Below are 15304 nucleotides of genomic sequence, written 5' to 3' on the forward strand. Positions count from 1 at the left end.
AAGATCCTGTTTCCAGACAATACCTGCATTTGGTTTTTCTCCAGCTGAGGGACACCGGTAGGGGGGGGGAGGACAGAAACGAGCAGGGGGTGGGGCCAAGGCGAGTGGGCGGGACCGCGCGGACCCTCCCGCGGCCGACTGGAGGCCCGGAGCAGGGGCGGAGTTTCCGGCGGCAGCGCCACTCGGGCGTCGGGTGACGCTAGGCGGACGGACCATCATGTGACACGGAAGTAGCTCCGAACAGGAAGAGGACGAAAAAAATAACCGTCCGCGACGCCGAGACAAACCGGACCCGCAACCACCATGAACAGCAAAGGCAAGGACCGAGGGTGGCAGAGGCCGTCGGGGGGAGTACTGCTGGCCCAGAGCGAGCGGATTCGGAGCCCAGGGTCACCAAACGCCAGGTTTGGGGTGGGCTGCGCCATGCTCCTTGGCCGGCTGCAGTCCAGGGCGCTGCGCCTGACGCCTTCGTCATACCCAAATTACGGCAGCTTGCTGCCTCCAGGCCCTTTCCTCCGTAAACTCTGTGGCGCAGTTTGGAGCTGCGGGCTCGGGTGGTGGGGGGGCTTGACATGATGGGCATCCGCAGGAGCAAATAGAGCGCTAGCGCAGGCATTCGCGTAGGCCAATGGAGAGCCGGCGGAGGCGGGGCGCCGCGCTCCGGAACCCCCAGCGGGGCCGAACTTAACTACTGAATTGCTGGAGTTGGTTCGTGGGCCGGGGCCTGTGAGGTCTCTTTTCCTTCCCTTCGCACCCCCTCGCCCTTCGCTGACGGGATCAGAACTTCTCCCCTTTTCTGTGGTTGTACCAGTGTGTCTGTCGGAACATGATTCCCATAACGCAGGAATAGGTTGAGGGGGTAAAAAAGGAATAGAAAAAAAAAAAAAAAAAAGGCCGAGCGAGGTTGCTCACGCCTGTAATCCCAGCAGTTTGGGAGGTCGAGGCGGGCGGATCACCTGAGGTCAAGAGTTCGAGACCAGCCTGGCCAACGTGGTGAAACCCCGTCTCTATTAAAAAATACAAAAATCAGCTGGGCGTGGTGGCGGGCGCCTGTAATCCCAGCTACTCGGGAGGCTGGGGTAGGAGAATTGCTTGAACCCAGGAGACGGAGGTTGCAGTGAGCCGAGATCGCGCCACTGCACTCCAGCCTGGGCAAAAGAGCGAGACTCCGTCTCAGAACAAACAAAAAACCAAACCTGATCCCCCGCTTTTCCAGTGAGGATATTCCTCCTCACCCCTCAGCCCTGCACCCTTTTCCCAGTCTCACGGTTCACTTCCATCATTCACACCCTTTGTTTGGAAGTCGACCTTGAATAGTAATCTGTAAGGAAAATCAGAACTGCTGTTACCCACGAAGTCTGGGCTGGTTGTAGACAGGCTGTGGAGACTACCTAGAGCAGAGGCACCCTTGATAAGCCAGAACAGCAGCAGGCCAGAACCCCAGACCTGTCCTGCATTCCGGAGGGAACTTGGGCCCAGGTAGACTTAACCCCTTACTTCGGTATGTTAGTAGGAGCAGTGAGCAGTGCCTTTCTTGTCTCGTTAGAATCCAGCACCTTCCATTTTAAGGGTGCAAAGACAATGCATATTTTCTTAGTTCCAGGAATCAGGCCCTCTGGGGCAGACTATTTGCAAATCCCCTTCTGCTTGCTCCCACTAAGTTAGCTACCCGATATGACCTGCCTCATTTTGGTAGCTCTGTGTAGTAGGCAACCTTCATTTTTTTCTTGTCTTTCAGGTCAATATCCAACACAGCCAACCTACCCTGTGCAGCCTCCTGGGAATCCAGTATACCCTCAGACCTTGCATCTTCCTCAGGCTCCACCCTATACCGATGCTCCACCTGCCTACTCAGAGGTGCTTCCAGTTTGCCAGATTTGAACTAGCTGGGAATACTCTTAGGGTGGTCCTTTAGTCCTTAGCTAAATCTGACTTCACATATTTACTCTTCACAAATGCTAACATGAATAATCTAAAACACTATATAATTTGGCAATTTTTGTCGGAGTTGAAAGTGCATTATTTGATGATTTTGTGTTATTTGGCACAGGCTAAGGTGCAGAAGATGAATTTGCGTTCTGTGAGCCCAACATTAGCTATAGCAGAAAGTGATCCAGGAGAATATTGAAGGCCAGTGGAAAGGCAACTTGTATAATCTTACAAAAAGTATAACCTGCATAAGGAGAATTAAGAATTAGCTCATTAAAGAGATCTCAAATAGGAATGTCATAAAGTAACATTTTGCCTTCTCTTCTGCCTCTTCTAGCTCTATCGTCCGAGCTTTGTGCACCCAGGGGCTGCCACAGTCCCCACCATGTCAGCCGCATTTCCTGGAGCCTCTCTGTATCTTCCCATGGCCCAGTCTGTGGCTGTTGGGCCTTTAGGTTCCACAATCCCCATGGCTTATTATCCAGTCGGTCCCATCTATCCACCTGGCTCCACAGTGCTGGTGGAAGGAGGGTATGATGCAGGTGCCAGATTTGGAGCTGGGGCTACTGCTGGCAACATTCCTGTGAGTATGACCTCATCAGAAGAAACTCAGCCCTTGTGTATTTTAACTTTCTGAAATGACTTCATATTCATTCTCTTACCATTTCTGGATGATAGTTGCCAGTGTTGGTACAACTACTGACATCCAATACTCAGGCAGAAAGTGTTTGAGGGGGCAGAACTGTGGCAAGTGAGTAGCATCTCACTGGGGGCTGAGTTAACCAGATTCTTTTGTTTTCATGTCTGTCGAGTCCTGCTTGCTGCTTTTCCAGTTCATTGTGGTACACTGAACTGGTCTAGTAATGCTCCTTATTCATTCCATAAGCATTTACCATTTACTTAATATTTGCCATCAGCATGGTGTTGCACTAGGAACCCTGATAATTAAAAAAGTAGAATGTATAATCCCTAGTAAGTAGCTTTTAGAAAGATATTAACAATTTTAGTTATCATTTTTTCCTACTTAATTCCCCAGTGCGTGGGATTTAGAGCTCAAATGACTGCTCAGTAACTACATGCTAGAGATGAAGTGAATGTGTCATTAGCGAGCCTTCAGTTTTCCAGTAGTTCATTCAAAAACTGTGTAAGGGCGAAGCACGGTGGCTCACCTGAGGTCAGGAGTTTGAGACCAGGCTGGCCAACATGGTGAAACCCCGACTCTACTATAAATACAAAAATTAGCCGGGCATGGTGGCAGGCGTCTGTAATCCCAGCTACTTGGGAGGCTAAGACAGGAGAATCACTTGAACCTGGGAGGTGGAGGTTGCAGTGAGCTGAGATCCCACCACTGCACTCCAGCCTGGGCGACAAGAGCAAGACTCTATCTCAAAAAAATTAAAAAAAAAAAAAATTAAAAATTAAAAACTATGTAGGGACCATGTGGGATTCATACATGGACTGGCACCCTGTCCCTGTTTTGGGAATGTGAGTAGGACAGTGGTTCTCTACCCTCAAAATGACTGTTGGTCTGGTCTGTTCATGTTCAGAAGGTAGCCATAGGCTTCATCTTAGAGCTGGAACCCTTTGAATGAGTGGTAGGCTCCCTTTCCTGTTTGTATCTTTGGGTTCACATAAAGTATAGACCTACTTTAGAACTCAAATTGGTGGCGGAACTAGCTCCTTAAAACGCAGCTGGTTAGCACATTGCCTCATCCTAACAGGCCTCTGCTTCCCCTATGTCCCCTTCGCTTATATTAGCTGCCCTGTGCCCATTCTATCATGTCATTTCCTTTCAGCCTCCACCTCCTGGATGCCCTCCCAATGCTGCTCAGCTTGCAGTCATGCAGGGAGCCAACGTCCTCGTAACTCAGCGGAAGGGGAACTTCTTCATGGGTGGTTCAGATGGTGGCTACACCATCTGGTGAGGAACCAAGGCCACCTCTGTGCCGGGAAAGACATCACATACCTTCAGCACTTCTCACAATGTAACTGCTTTAGTCATATTAACCTGAAGTTGCAGTTTAGACACATGTTGTTGGGGTGTCTTTCTGGTGCCCAAACTTTCAGGCACTTTTCAAATTTAATAAGGAACCATGTAATGGTAGCAGTACCTCCCTAAAGCATTTTGAGGTAGGGGAGGTATCCATTCATAAAATGAATGTGGGTGAAGCCGCCCTAAGGATTTTCCTTTAATTTCTCTGGAGTAATACTGTACCATACTGGTCTTTGCTTTTAGTAATAAAACATCAAATTAGGTTTGGAGGGAACTTTGATCTTCCTAAGAATTAAAGTTGCCAAATTATTCTGATTGGTCTTTAATCTCCTTTAAGTCTTTGATATATATTACTTGTTATAAATGGAACGCATTAGTTGTCTGCCTTTTCCTTTCCATCCCTTGCCCCACCCATCCCATCTCCAACCCTAGTCTTCCATTTCCTCCCGCCAGTCTCCATTGAATCAATGGTGCAGGACAGAAAGCCAGTCAGACTAATTTCCTTCTTTCCTCGCACTTCTCCCCACTCGTCATCTTTTAACTAGTGTTTCACAAGGATCCTCTGAAACCCTCTCTGTGCCCCAAGTACAGATGCCATTACTTCTGCTTTCGTATCTCCTCAGGCAAAAGTGGAGGGTGCCTTATGGGCCCTCCTCATAGGTTGTCTCTGCATACACGAACCTAACCCAAATTTGCTTTGGTGCCAGAAAAACTGAGCTATGTTTGAACAAAGATGTCGTGCAAACTGTACTGTGAACAACAGTTGGTTTAAAATATGAGGGGCAAGGAGGAGGATGCATTTCAAAAGCTTGATTGATGTGTTCAGAGCTAAATTAAGAGGAGTTTTCAGATCAAAAACTGGTTACCATTTTTTGTCAGAGTGTCTGATGCGGCCACTCATTCGGCTCCCCAGAATTCCTAGACTGGGTTAATAGGGTCATATTGTGAATGTCTCACTACAAAATGACTTGAGTCCAGTGAAATCTCATTAGGGTTTAAGAATATTTCAGGGATCCTTAATGTTTTGATTTTTGTTTTCTGAAATTGGATTTTATTTTATTTTATCTTATAATTTCAGTTCATCTAAATTGTGTGTTCTGTACATGTGATGTTTGACTGTACCATTGACTGTTATGGAAGTTCAGCGTTGTATGTCTCTCTCTACACTGTGGTGCACTTAACTTGTGGAATTTTTATACTAAAAATGTAGAATAAAGACTATTTTGAAGATTTGAATAAAGTGATGAAGTTGCATTACACCTCACTGCAAGGATTCTTTACTTAGCTTGTTTTTAGATTTCTTCTATATATATTTTATTTATATCCCATCTAGAATTCAGCTAGGTGCTGCTGCTGCTCTGTTTCCTTTGATGACGCTTTGAAATAAAGGCAGGAGTACAAGCCTAAGACTTGATCATTTCATGAATTCCATTCCAGATGTTCAACTTTTCATCATTTTACTCCAACCTCTTACAAATTTTGGAATTTCGGACCTAAACTTAGAAATGAGGGAACTATTGATTCTCCTAACTTGCTCTAAAGTTTGGCTTGAAGAAAAGGTTCTGGTATAGCAATTTGTATACGTTGAGGATGACCTTTAGTTTCTCCAATGTTCTATGTGGAGAAATACTGAAAACTCATAGAATCTAGGTTGCCAAGATAGATTCCTCAGCTCTTTTATTTATTTTTTGAGACAGGGTCTCCCTCTGTCACCCGGGCTGGAGTGCAGTGGCAGTGTCTGCTCACTGCAACCTCCACCTCCCGGGTTCAAGTGATTCTCCTGTCTCAGCCTCCTGAGTAGCTGGGATTACAGGCACCTGCTACAACACCTGGTTCATTTCTGTACTTTTAGTAGAGACGGCTTCACTGCGTTGGCCACGCTGGTCTCAAACTCCTGACCTCAAGTGATCTGTCTGCCTCAGCCTCCCAAAGTATTGGGATAACAGGCAGTGAGTCACTGCACCCAGCCAGATTCCTCAGCTCTTGATCTTAACTTGGTTGGGTTTGAGCTTGGACAACAGAGGCAATACATTAAGACTTCAAAGGAGATCTAGCTTTAATTCCAAAGTGAACAATATCTGATGAGCTAATAATTTATACCAAAATGTGCCTTTTAAACACAACTTATCTTGAGACTAAAATCCAAGAAGCTTCTTGGCTTGATTCTGAGGATACACTGGGAAAGGTGGTAGGTTGATTTTTTCTGGTTCCTTCTGTATATATGTAGAAGGGATTCTGGGAAATTCTGGCCCTTGCCAGGATGGAGGCTTGAACCAACTCATCTCCCAGGGTACTTTTTTTTTTTTTTTTTTTTTTGAGACGGAGTCTCACTCTGTTGCCCAGGCTGGAGTATAGTGGTGCAATCTCAGCTCACTGCAAGCTCCGCCTCCTGGGTTCAAGCCATTCTCCTGCCTCAGCCTCCCAAGCAGCTGGGACTATGGGCGCCCGCCACCACGCCCAGCTATTTTTTTTATATATTTTTAGTAGAGACGGGGTTTCACCGTGTTAGCCAGGATGGTCTCGATCTCCTAACCTTGTGATCCGCCTGCCTCGGCCTCCCAAAGTGCTGGGATCACAGGCGTGAGCCACCGAACCCGGCCCTCCCAGGGTATGTTTCTAATGATGTTCCCCTGGAACAAGCTTTCCTGCACCATCTTTGTCTCAAATCCCTGAGATAGTTCTGCAAACTTCTAGAACTTTCCTAGGGTTCTTATTGCTTGGAAGAGAACATATGTAAAGGCGTTAAATAGGGAAAAGAAAATGTCAAAAATGTTTAAGCAAAAATAAGTCAAAATGTAGTTACTTCTTGCACATGAGAATCTGATTTCTGTAGCAATGAAAATTTTTAATTTGAATAAAAATCACGTAAGCATGAGGTTGTTGGGGAACACGGAAAGGAAGGGCTCAGATTAGGGGGTGTAGCACATTTATCAGGAGGTAAGATCTCCATAGTCTCCTACCCCTCCTGGCCTGGCCTTTTACTGTGGTATCCAGCCTCTGGGAAGACCTTGTATGGACAGTATCTCCACTGGGGCTATCACTAGGTGACCAGGTAGGGGACAGAGTAGAGCAGCCAATGACCTTAACTCAAAATCTTTTCTCTCCCTTCAACCTGTGAAAAAAGATGACTGGGCACATACTCAGATGTCCCCTGGCATAGCCACATCTTGTTGGCCAGTCACAAACACCAGCTCTAGTAAGAGGGCCTGGTTAAAGATATCATAAACAGCTTTCTCCATGTCCCTGGTCCCTGGAGTCAGTGATGTCGGCATTTGGGACTGCGACCTGGCTGGAGCTTGGATTTGCCCACATCAATCAATGCTTCTCCCTGGCTTCAGAGAAAACTTTCCCATAATAAGCAGTCAACGTGTTAGCGATGGAGCCAGGAATAAGCTCCTTGGGGCCTGGGAGTCATTAGATGAAATATTCCTCTTTCTCGCTGCCCTTGGCCAAGTCACTCTCCATCTGGACGATGGCACTGGGCTCACCTTCTGTAGGTTCATAGGTGACGTAGCTGCCTTTGTTCTTGTACAGGTAAAAGAAGATCAAGATCACGACCGAGAGCAGGGTGAGGAAGACAACGGTGATAACAACTTGGAAAGGAGAGGGAAAATGTAGAGATGTTTCAGGATTGAGGATGTCTCAGTAGTTCCTGGAGTCATCTGATTTAGTCACTGTTTTCGTAAAGATCCTCTTGTTTTCATTAACTAGTGTCCACTTCCATCCAAACCCATGTTCCCCCACCAACCCCAATTTCCATGGCACATAATAGCTGGAGTCTCCTGGTGCTTAAGCTAAGGACACATGCTTTTGATTTCTGACAAAACTGAACTGCCTCCCAAACCAGTTCCTGATTCTTAAAGAAACGGGAAGGAGGGAACAGGAAATGGCTTATCCTAACAGGAAGTGGTTTATCTGATCCTCCCCCTCTTCCTCACCCACTCAACCAACCACATATATCCTCGTCCCTACCCACGTACTCAAGTGTAACGTCCGTATGCATATCTATTTGCGGCCACCTCCCAACCTGTCATTTACTGGTAGTGCCTCTGACAGAAGCCTCCGAGTCTTTTATGGCTGTGTGTGTGTGTGTGTGTGTGTGTGTGTGTGTGTAATATAACTTACAAGCCAGAGTGAGCCCATTAATGGATTTGGTCAGGCTCCCTCTGGAGAGAGATGCCCTTGATCCAGAAGGTCCCTTGGAGTTGGCTCAGAGTCTATTACCTGCAATGAGTGCTGTGCTGGCTCCATCTTCTGGGGACAGGGCCTCAGTGGGCTGTAAAATTGGGGTGGTCATCAGTTCTTCTGGAAAATGTAGAAAAGTGGAAAAGGAAATGGAGTGAATTCTTTTGTTTGAAAGCATATGTTTGGCCTTCAAATTTCACCACCCCACCTTCTTCCCTATTCAAAAGTTTATCATTTAACTCCTAGAGTATATCCAAATAGAAAATCCTAGAGAATAAAGAAGAAAATAAACCACCACCCAAAGACAATATGTTGATGGATTTCTCCCTGCATAATATAGTGATTAAGAGTAGGGGCTATAGAGCCTGACAGACTGGGTTTCAAATATGAACTCTGTCCTTTACTAGCTGTGTGACCTTGGGAAAATTACCTAACCTCTATCTGCAAAATGGAGGTAAGAGTACCTACTTTAAAACGTTGTTGTGACATTTAATAAGTCACTCAGTAGGATAAGCCATTATTAGGAATGCATATTTTTACAATAAGTGAGATCAAATGAGTTGTATGTGTATATATTTACATTATATTATATAGCATGTGCATTTTCTTGCAGCATTCTTACTAATTCTTTGTAAACATTATTTTAACATAATGAAATAGTGCTCCTCTCCTATTAAAAACCCTTTTCTACACTTCCAGGATAGGCCCTGCAATTTGAAAGGTTCTGAAACAGGCCTCTCCTCTACCCTAAAATAGATCCTGCACCCCCTCCTGCTACGGGTTTATTTATCCTTCAGAGCGTGAAAGTCCCACCCTAAAGTCATTACCCAGGGACAGAACATGACAAAATGAGTGGTCTCCAGAAGTCCCTTTTAAGTGTTTACACAGGAAGTCAGGAAGCCCTTCCATTCTTTCCTATTAGCATTTTAATGTAGAGGTTACTGCAGGATAGAGGTCTCCTGGGGAAAACCAGCTGGCTGATCCTGGCAACACCCACAGGAGGCACCCCGACCTGACTGGCATCCCATAAACAGCAACACTCACCCACTGCCTCCTCTTTGCTAGGCCCTGTGCTAGATGAAAGGTCGAGCAAAACAGACACGGCCAGCTTCCCGAGGCTCACCCTCCACTGCACCCCACAGCTTGCACGGTGAGGAGCTGCTGTAAGTGCACTTAGGAAAGTGTGCAGCCGAGGGGCCTGATCTAGTCTTCCAGCCAGAAGCGACCCCCCAAGGGAGGAATATCTGACCTGGGAGCTGAAGCAGGGGTAAGAGTTTACCGGGTAACAGGGATGGGGCACATTCTAGGCAGAGAGAAGAGCCTGGGTCAAAGCTCTGAGACCAGGGGACTCAAAGGCCAGCGTGGCCCGAGCGCGGTGTGAGCATGACTCCCGTCCAGTGCCTGACACGTTCAGGTTTCCATCCACAGCAAGTGAAATGAGGGTATCAGTGGTGGTCTGGTGGGCCTATGCTAAGAGGGGCCAAGAGTGTTGAAGGGTCTTTCCACGCGGGCCCAGGGGAGCCTGATGAACCATCCTCATCTTGCAATACAGAAAGCAGAGGCAGGCTGTCCAGAGCGCTTCCTCTCCCAAGGCCAGGCCAAACCTTTCTCTCTGGTCCCCTCTTTGTCTAGGAATGGTAGTACCCTCAACCACTCTGGCCTTGGGCGAATGGTTACTGTGGTGTTTTACACACACACACACACACACACACACACACACACACTCTCTCTCTCTCTCTCTCTCTCTCTCTCTCTCTCTCTCTCTAGGTTTTCATCCAGTTCCTGGCTCCTAATTCCCACAGCCCGTTAGCCTTGTGTTATGATGTGGGTGTGTCACACCGCAGGAGCGGGCCTCAGGAAACAGCATCTCTCCAGCCTTCTCCTGCCCTTCCCTTCACCTGCCCCAAGGCAGGACTCTAATCTTCCTCTGCCTTTCCCATAGTGGGTCATAAGATCCTCATTCCAGAGGGAGAATTTGGGAAGGGAATGCTGACATCATGAAGCTTCCATTAAAAACCCAAGAGGACTGGCCTCAGAAAGCTTCCGCATAGTTGAACATGGCTGGACATGGTGGCTCATGCCTGTAATCCCAGCCCTTTGGGAGGCCAGGGTGGGTGATTTCCTGAGCCCAGGAATTTGAGACCAGCCTGGGAAACATGGCGAAATCCTGTCTCTACCAAAAATACCACAAAAAAAAAAAAAAAAAAAAAAAAAAAAAAATAGCCAAGTATGGTGGTGTGCACCTGTAATCCCAGCTACTTGGGAGGCTGAGGAATGAGAATCGCTTGAGCCCAGGAGGTGGAGGTCGCAGTGAGCTGAGATCGCGCCACTGAACTCCAACCTGGGGGATAGAATGAGACCCCATCCAAAAACAAAAACAAAAACAAAACCCCAAAAACAACTAGCTGAACATGCAGAAGTTCCCGGAGGGTGACGCACCAGGGAGGGCGTGGAAGCTCCGCCCCCCTCCCCACACCTCACCCTACACATGTCCTCATTTGTATCCTTTGCAATGTCCTTTATAATAAACCAGTAAACACATTGTTTCCCTGAGTTCTGTGAGCTACTCCAGCAAATTAATTGAACTCCAAAGCAGGGGTTGGCAGGGGTGGGAACTCCAACTTGAAGCTGGTTGGTCACAAGTTTTGGAGCCTGGACTTGTGACTAGTGTCTGAAGGGAGCTGCAGCCTTGGGGGCCCAGACCTTGGCCTGTGGTATCTGACACTATCTCTAGGTAGATAGTGTCAGAATTGAATTGGAAGACACCCTCTTGGTGTCTGCTGTGGAACTGCTTGCTTGCTTGCTGGTGCAGAGAAATTCTCAAATATTTTGGGGTCACAGAAGTCTTCTGTGTCAACTGTTGTGAGAGCTGAGGAAAAATGGTTTTAGAGTTTGTCTAGAACAGTTATACATTTTTTTTTTTTAAGATGGAGTCTTGCTCCATTGCCCAGGCTGGAGTGCAGTGGCGCAATCTCGGCTCACTGCAACTTCCACCTCCTGGCTCAAGCGATTCTTCTGCCTCAGCCTCCTGAGTAGCTGGGATTACAGGTGTGTGCCACCATGCCCAGTTAATTTTTGTATTTTCAGTAGAGACAGGGTTTCACCATGTTGGCCAGGCTGGTCTCGAACTCCTGGCCTCGAGTGATCCACCTGCCTCGGCCTCCCAAAGTGCTGGGATTACAGGTGTGAGCCACTGTGCCTCGCCTATACATATGGATTCATTCATCCATTCTCATCTGTTACCCACAGGAACTATATTAACCAACATTGCAGTTCTATTATGAAGATTAAATGAGAGAACATGTAAACATCATATAGTAGCTACTACTTAAATATTATTTAAGGTGACTTTGTTAATATGCTTAGTGATTAAAAGGGCCAGGCATGGTGGCTCATGCCTGTAATCCCAGCACTTTGGGAGACCAAGGTGGGAAGATCGCTTGAGGCCAGGAGTTTGAGACCAGCCTGGGCAACACAGTAAGACTCTGTCTACAAAAAAAAAAAAAAAAAAAATGTAAAAATTAGCCAGGTGTGGTAATATGCGCCTGTAGTCCCAGATACTCATGAGGCTGAAGTGGGAAGATTGCTTGAGCCCAGGGGGTTAAGCCTGCAATGAGCCAGCACTGCATTACTGAATTGTTGGGCAACAGAGTAATGAGACCCTGTCTCAAAAAAATAAATTAATTAAAGGGAGAGTTGCTCTGGGTTTGAATCCTGCCTAAGCATATTACTAGGTGACCTTGAGGAAGTTACTAAACCTCTCTGAACCTGGTTGTTGTTGTTGTTGTGTTTTTTTTTTGTTTTTTTTTTGTTGTTGTTGTTGAGACAAGGATCTCACTATGTTGCTCAGGCTGGAGTGCAATGGTGCAATCTTGGCTCACTGCGGCCTCAACCTCCTGACCTCAAGCAATCTTCCTGCCTTGGCCTCCCAAAATGCTGGGATTATAAGCGTGTGCCACCACACCTGGCAGTACCTCAGTTTCTTGATTTGTGAAATGGGAGTGTGGTGTACAGCTTCTAAGATGGCTCACAATGATTTCTGCCTCCTGGTATTGACATCTTTGAGCATGCCTCTCCTCTGGTATATGGGTTGAACCTGGTGACTTGCTTTTAACAGATGATGGCAAAAATGATGGCATGTAACTTCTGAGATTAGGTTATACAACACTGTGACTCCCATCAAAGGGAAGCCCTGAAGTTTATCTACCTGGTCATGACTTCACACATTTCACCATGCACTTTCCTCCCCAAATCGCCCAGGGCTGCAATCCATCTTCCTACCATGGATCTAGAGTTCTATACAGTTGTTCCTAGTTTTGCTTTCTTTAAACATTTTGAGAATTTAGGATGTACAAAGCATTGAGAAGATTAATGTATATCAGAAGCTTGAAGATGAGTAATTTGTGTTCAATCATCAACAGTAACTTACTTTGTACATTAGGTTTAGTGTGGTAGCTCACGCCTGTAATCCCAACACTTTGGGAGGCGGAGGCAGGAGGATTGCTTGAGGCCAGGAGTTTGAGACTAATCTGGACAATATAGCAAGACACCATCTCTATTTGTTTTTTAAAAATAATATATGGAGGAGGCTGGGTGCAGTGGCTCACGCCTGTAATTCCAGCACCTTGGGAGGCCAAGGCAGGTGGATCGCTTGAGCCCAGGAGTTGGAGACCAGCCTGGGCAACATAGCCAGACTCCCATCTCTACAAAAAAAAAAAAAAAAAAAAAGTTAGCCAGACATGGTGGCACACACCTGTAGTCCCAGCTACTCGGTAAACTTGAGGTGAGAGGATCACTGGAGCCCAGGAGGTCCAGGCTGCAGTGAGCTGTGATTGTGCCACTGTACTCTAGTCTGGGTGACAGAGTGAGACCCTGTTTCAGAAAAAAAAAAAAAAAGAATAAAGGTGGGAGGAAACCAGATGATCACAATTAAATACAGACAGTTGTGCTACAAAGTGCTTCTTTAACATGAACTGGCTCACTGGTGATAGGTAACTTAAGGGAACGATGTCAGTGTAATGCAGAAGTCATGTTGGTTTATATGTGACTTCTTTATTTTTAGTTTATTTTCAGTTATCTATTCTTTAATTTTTTTAAATTGAGCAGCCCCTAGAACCAAAAGAGGTTCAGAGGACTCCCCACCCTCTTTAGCTTTAATGTTTAACATGATCAGAAGCAAGCTTTCTCACAACTAGAGAATATTTTAGCCATACAGGAAGACCTTAAGAAAAAAATTCTACAGAATGCCTTGCTGCGATGCAGCTATTGGTCAGTTTCCACTTATATGAAGCCATCTGGTGAAGCAGAAAGTGCAGATGAAGAAAGGTGCAAAGAAATTTACCTCAATATTTAAACGATGACAAGAAGGCAGACTCTACATCAGATTTTTTTTTTTTTTTCCAGACAGAGTCTCGCTCTGTCACCCAGGCTGGAGTGCAGTGGCGCGATGTTGGCTCACTGCAACCTCTGTCTCCCAGGTTCTAGCGATTCTCCTGCCTCAGCCTCCCGAGTAGCTGGGACTACAGGCGCATGTCACCACGCCCGGCTAATTTTTTGTATTTTTTAGTAGAGACGGGGTTTCACCATATTAGCCAGGATGGTCTTGATCTCCTGACCTCGTGATCTGCCCGCCTCGGCCTCCCAAAGTGCTGGGATTACAGGTATGAGCCACTGTGCCCGGCCTATTATTATTATTTTTGAGGCCAAGTCTCACTGTGTCACCCAGGCTGGAGTGCAGTGGCTTCATCTCGGCTCACTGCAACCTCCGCCCCCTGGGTTCAAGCAATTCTCCTGCCTCAGCCTCCCAAGTAGCTGGAATTACAGGCATGTGCCACCACACCCGGCTAATTTTTGTATTTTTTAGTAGAGACAGTTTTGCCATGTTGGCCAGGCTGGTCTCAGACTCCTGACCTCAGGTGATCCGCCCTCCTCAGCCTCCCAAAGTGTTGGGATTACAGGCGTGAGCCACATCGCCCCCCGAAGGACAATTTAAAAAGCATTATATTTGCAACAAGAACAAAGAAAAAGCTAGGCTTCTTTGGGCCTGAGGGGTCAGGTTGGAGGTAACAGAGAAAGCAGAATTCCCTCAGGCCTTTTCACCTCTGTTTCCTATCAAAGAGAATCATTTTTTTGCACTAAGGAGCAGTGGAGCCTTTGGGGACATGGGGGAAGTGAGCTCAAGAGAAGCAAAGAAACCCAGCAAGCACCAGACTAATCTAAAAGGGACCAGATATGACAGCCAAAGGCACTGCAAGAACTTGTAAATGGGATTTCTGTTGGTGACATAGGAGCTTCTGAGAAAGAGAAAGGGGTCGGGAACCTGAAGGGGCCATGGAAGGAAGGTGGAGTCCATAAAGCAATGGTGAGCTTGATGTGACTCCCCAGCAAAGTTCTAGAACACACTATTACGGCCTGTTTGGGGGGCTTTGAACTCGAAACAGCAAGCATTAGAAGTCAGAATGGGACTACTGAGAGCAAGCTGGGTCAGATAAGCTGCACAGCCTTCTTAGACTGAGATTCCAGGTTCCTAGACAGGGAAATTAAACAGTTAGTTCAACAAGAATTTACTGAGTGTGTACTCTGTGCCAGGCTCTGGGCTTCTATCAGTGAACAACACAGGCAAAAACCCTTACCTTTAAAGTTCCTGCCAGGATTAAACAGAATTACCCAGCAATCTCATTGCTGGGTGGGTATGATCCCGCAATCCCACTTCTAGGTATATACCCAAAAGAAATGAATGGACTTCAACTGATACTTGTATATCATGTTCATAGGAGCATTATGCAATAGCTAAATAAAAGGTGAAATAACCCAAATGTCCAACAGTAGATAAATGGATAAACAAAATGTGGTATATACATACCCTTAAAGAGGAAGGAAATTCTAAAAAAAAACAAAAAACAAAAAAGGAAGGAATTCAGACATATACTACAACATGGATGAACCTTGAGGACATGACACTAAGTGAAATAAGCCAGGCACAAAAGGACAAACATTCCAGCCTGGCCAACGTGGTAAAACCCCGTCTCTACTAAAAATACAAAAATTAGCCGGACGTGGTGGCAGGTGCCTGTAATCCCAGCTACTTGGGAGGCCAAGGCAGGAGAATCACTTGAACCCGGGAGGTAGAGGTTGCAGTGAGCCAAGATCATGCCACTGCACTCCAGCCCAGGCGAAAGAGCGAGACTCTGTCTCAAA

At 46.4% G+C, this 15304-nt stretch overlaps 2 protein-coding genes across 8 annotated transcripts in view, besides 8 other annotated features; one reads left to right on the forward strand and one right to left on the reverse strand.

The window, feature by feature from the left end:
- Window positions 1-295: an enhancer, noted in NCBI's record as "tiled region #9853; HepG2 Activating DNase matched - State 1:Tss, and K562 Activating DNase unmatched - State 1:Tss". NCBI's record gives its function as "activates a minimal TATA promoter and a strong SV40 promoter by Sharpr-MPRA in HepG2 and K562 cells {active_cell/tissue: HepG2 | K562}" and the evidence as "EXISTENCE:reporter gene assay evidence [ECO:0000049][PMID:27701403]".
- Window positions 1-468: a biological region, named in NCBI's record as "Sharpr-MPRA regulatory region 9853".
- Window positions 19-128: a silencer, noted in NCBI's record as "silent region_4463". NCBI's record gives its function as "represses an Ori minimal core promoter by ATAC-STARR-seq in GM12878 lymphoblastoid cells {active_cell/tissue: GM12878}" and the evidence as "EXISTENCE:reporter gene assay evidence [ECO:0000049][PMID:35858748]".
- Window positions 219-468: an enhancer, noted in NCBI's record as "active region_6374". NCBI's record gives its function as "activates an Ori minimal core promoter by ATAC-STARR-seq in GM12878 lymphoblastoid cells {active_cell/tissue: GM12878}" and the evidence as "EXISTENCE:reporter gene assay evidence [ECO:0000049][PMID:35858748]".
- DAZAP2 (DAZ associated protein 2) lies at window positions 222-8113 on the forward strand. 6 transcript variants are annotated; one of them, NM_001136264.2, is made up of 5 exons: window positions 222-316; window positions 1739-1857; window positions 2267-2325; window positions 2392-2512; window positions 3726-5329. In NM_001136264.2, exons 1-5 carry the CDS (start codon window positions 304-306, stop codon window positions 3852-3854), a joined length of 441 nt encoding a protein of 146 aa, NP_001129736.1. In that variant the 5' UTR covers window positions 222-303; the 3' UTR covers window positions 3855-5329. The 6 variants fall into 6 exon arrangements, with proteins under 6 accessions (NP_001129736.1, NP_001129741.1, NP_055579.1 ...); NM_001136269.2 differs by lacking the exon at window positions 3726-5329 and adding an exon at window positions 7457-8113 and having other exon boundaries at window positions 2267-2512; NM_014764.4 differs by having other exon boundaries at window positions 2267-2512.
- Window positions 1185-1821: an enhancer, noted in NCBI's record as "H3K27ac hESC enhancer chr12:51633573-51634209 (GRCh37/hg19 assembly coordinates)". NCBI's record gives its function as "activates a minimal SCP1, AML or CMV promoter by ChIP-STARR-seq in primed H9 embryonic stem cells {active_cell/tissue: H9 hESC(primed)}" and the evidence as "EXISTENCE:reporter gene assay evidence [ECO:0000049][PMID:30033119]".
- Window positions 5954-15304, reverse strand: part of SMAGP (small cell adhesion glycoprotein) — a 25858-nt gene continuing 16507 nt past the window's right edge. Inside the window, exons 3-4 of one of the 2 annotated variants that reach the window (NM_001031628.2) lie at window positions 8147-8227; window positions 5954-7515 (exon numbers count right to left, since the gene is read on the reverse strand). In NM_001031628.2, coding sequence (NP_001026798.1) covers window positions 7337-7515; window positions 8147-8227 — 260 coding nt within the window. In that variant the 3' untranslated portion in view covers window positions 5954-7336. The remainder of the gene's footprint in view (window positions 7516-8146; window positions 8228-15304) is intronic. The other variant, NM_001033873.1, reaches the window with a different exon arrangement.
- Window positions 8845-9346: an enhancer, noted in NCBI's record as "H3K27ac-H3K4me1 hESC enhancer chr12:51641233-51641734 (GRCh37/hg19 assembly coordinates)". NCBI's record gives its function as "activates a minimal SCP1, AML or CMV promoter by ChIP-STARR-seq in primed H9 embryonic stem cells {active_cell/tissue: H9 hESC(primed)}" and the evidence as "EXISTENCE:reporter gene assay evidence [ECO:0000049][PMID:30033119]".
- Window positions 9347-9846: an enhancer, noted in NCBI's record as "H3K27ac-H3K4me1 hESC enhancer chr12:51641735-51642234 (GRCh37/hg19 assembly coordinates)". NCBI's record gives its function as "activates a minimal SCP1, AML or CMV promoter by ChIP-STARR-seq in naive H9 embryonic stem cells {active_cell/tissue: H9 hESC(naive)}" and the evidence as "EXISTENCE:reporter gene assay evidence [ECO:0000049][PMID:30033119]".
- Window positions 9847-10348: an enhancer, noted in NCBI's record as "H3K27ac-H3K4me1 hESC enhancer chr12:51642235-51642736 (GRCh37/hg19 assembly coordinates)". NCBI's record gives its function as "activates a minimal SCP1, AML or CMV promoter by ChIP-STARR-seq in naive H9 embryonic stem cells {active_cell/tissue: H9 hESC(naive)}" and the evidence as "EXISTENCE:reporter gene assay evidence [ECO:0000049][PMID:30033119]".

The sequence above is a fragment of the Homo sapiens genome, chromosome 12 (assembly GCF_000001405.40).
Source record: "Homo sapiens chromosome 12, GRCh38.p14 Primary Assembly".
NCBI classification, from domain to species: domain Eukaryota; kingdom Metazoa; phylum Chordata; class Mammalia; order Primates; family Hominidae; genus Homo; species Homo sapiens.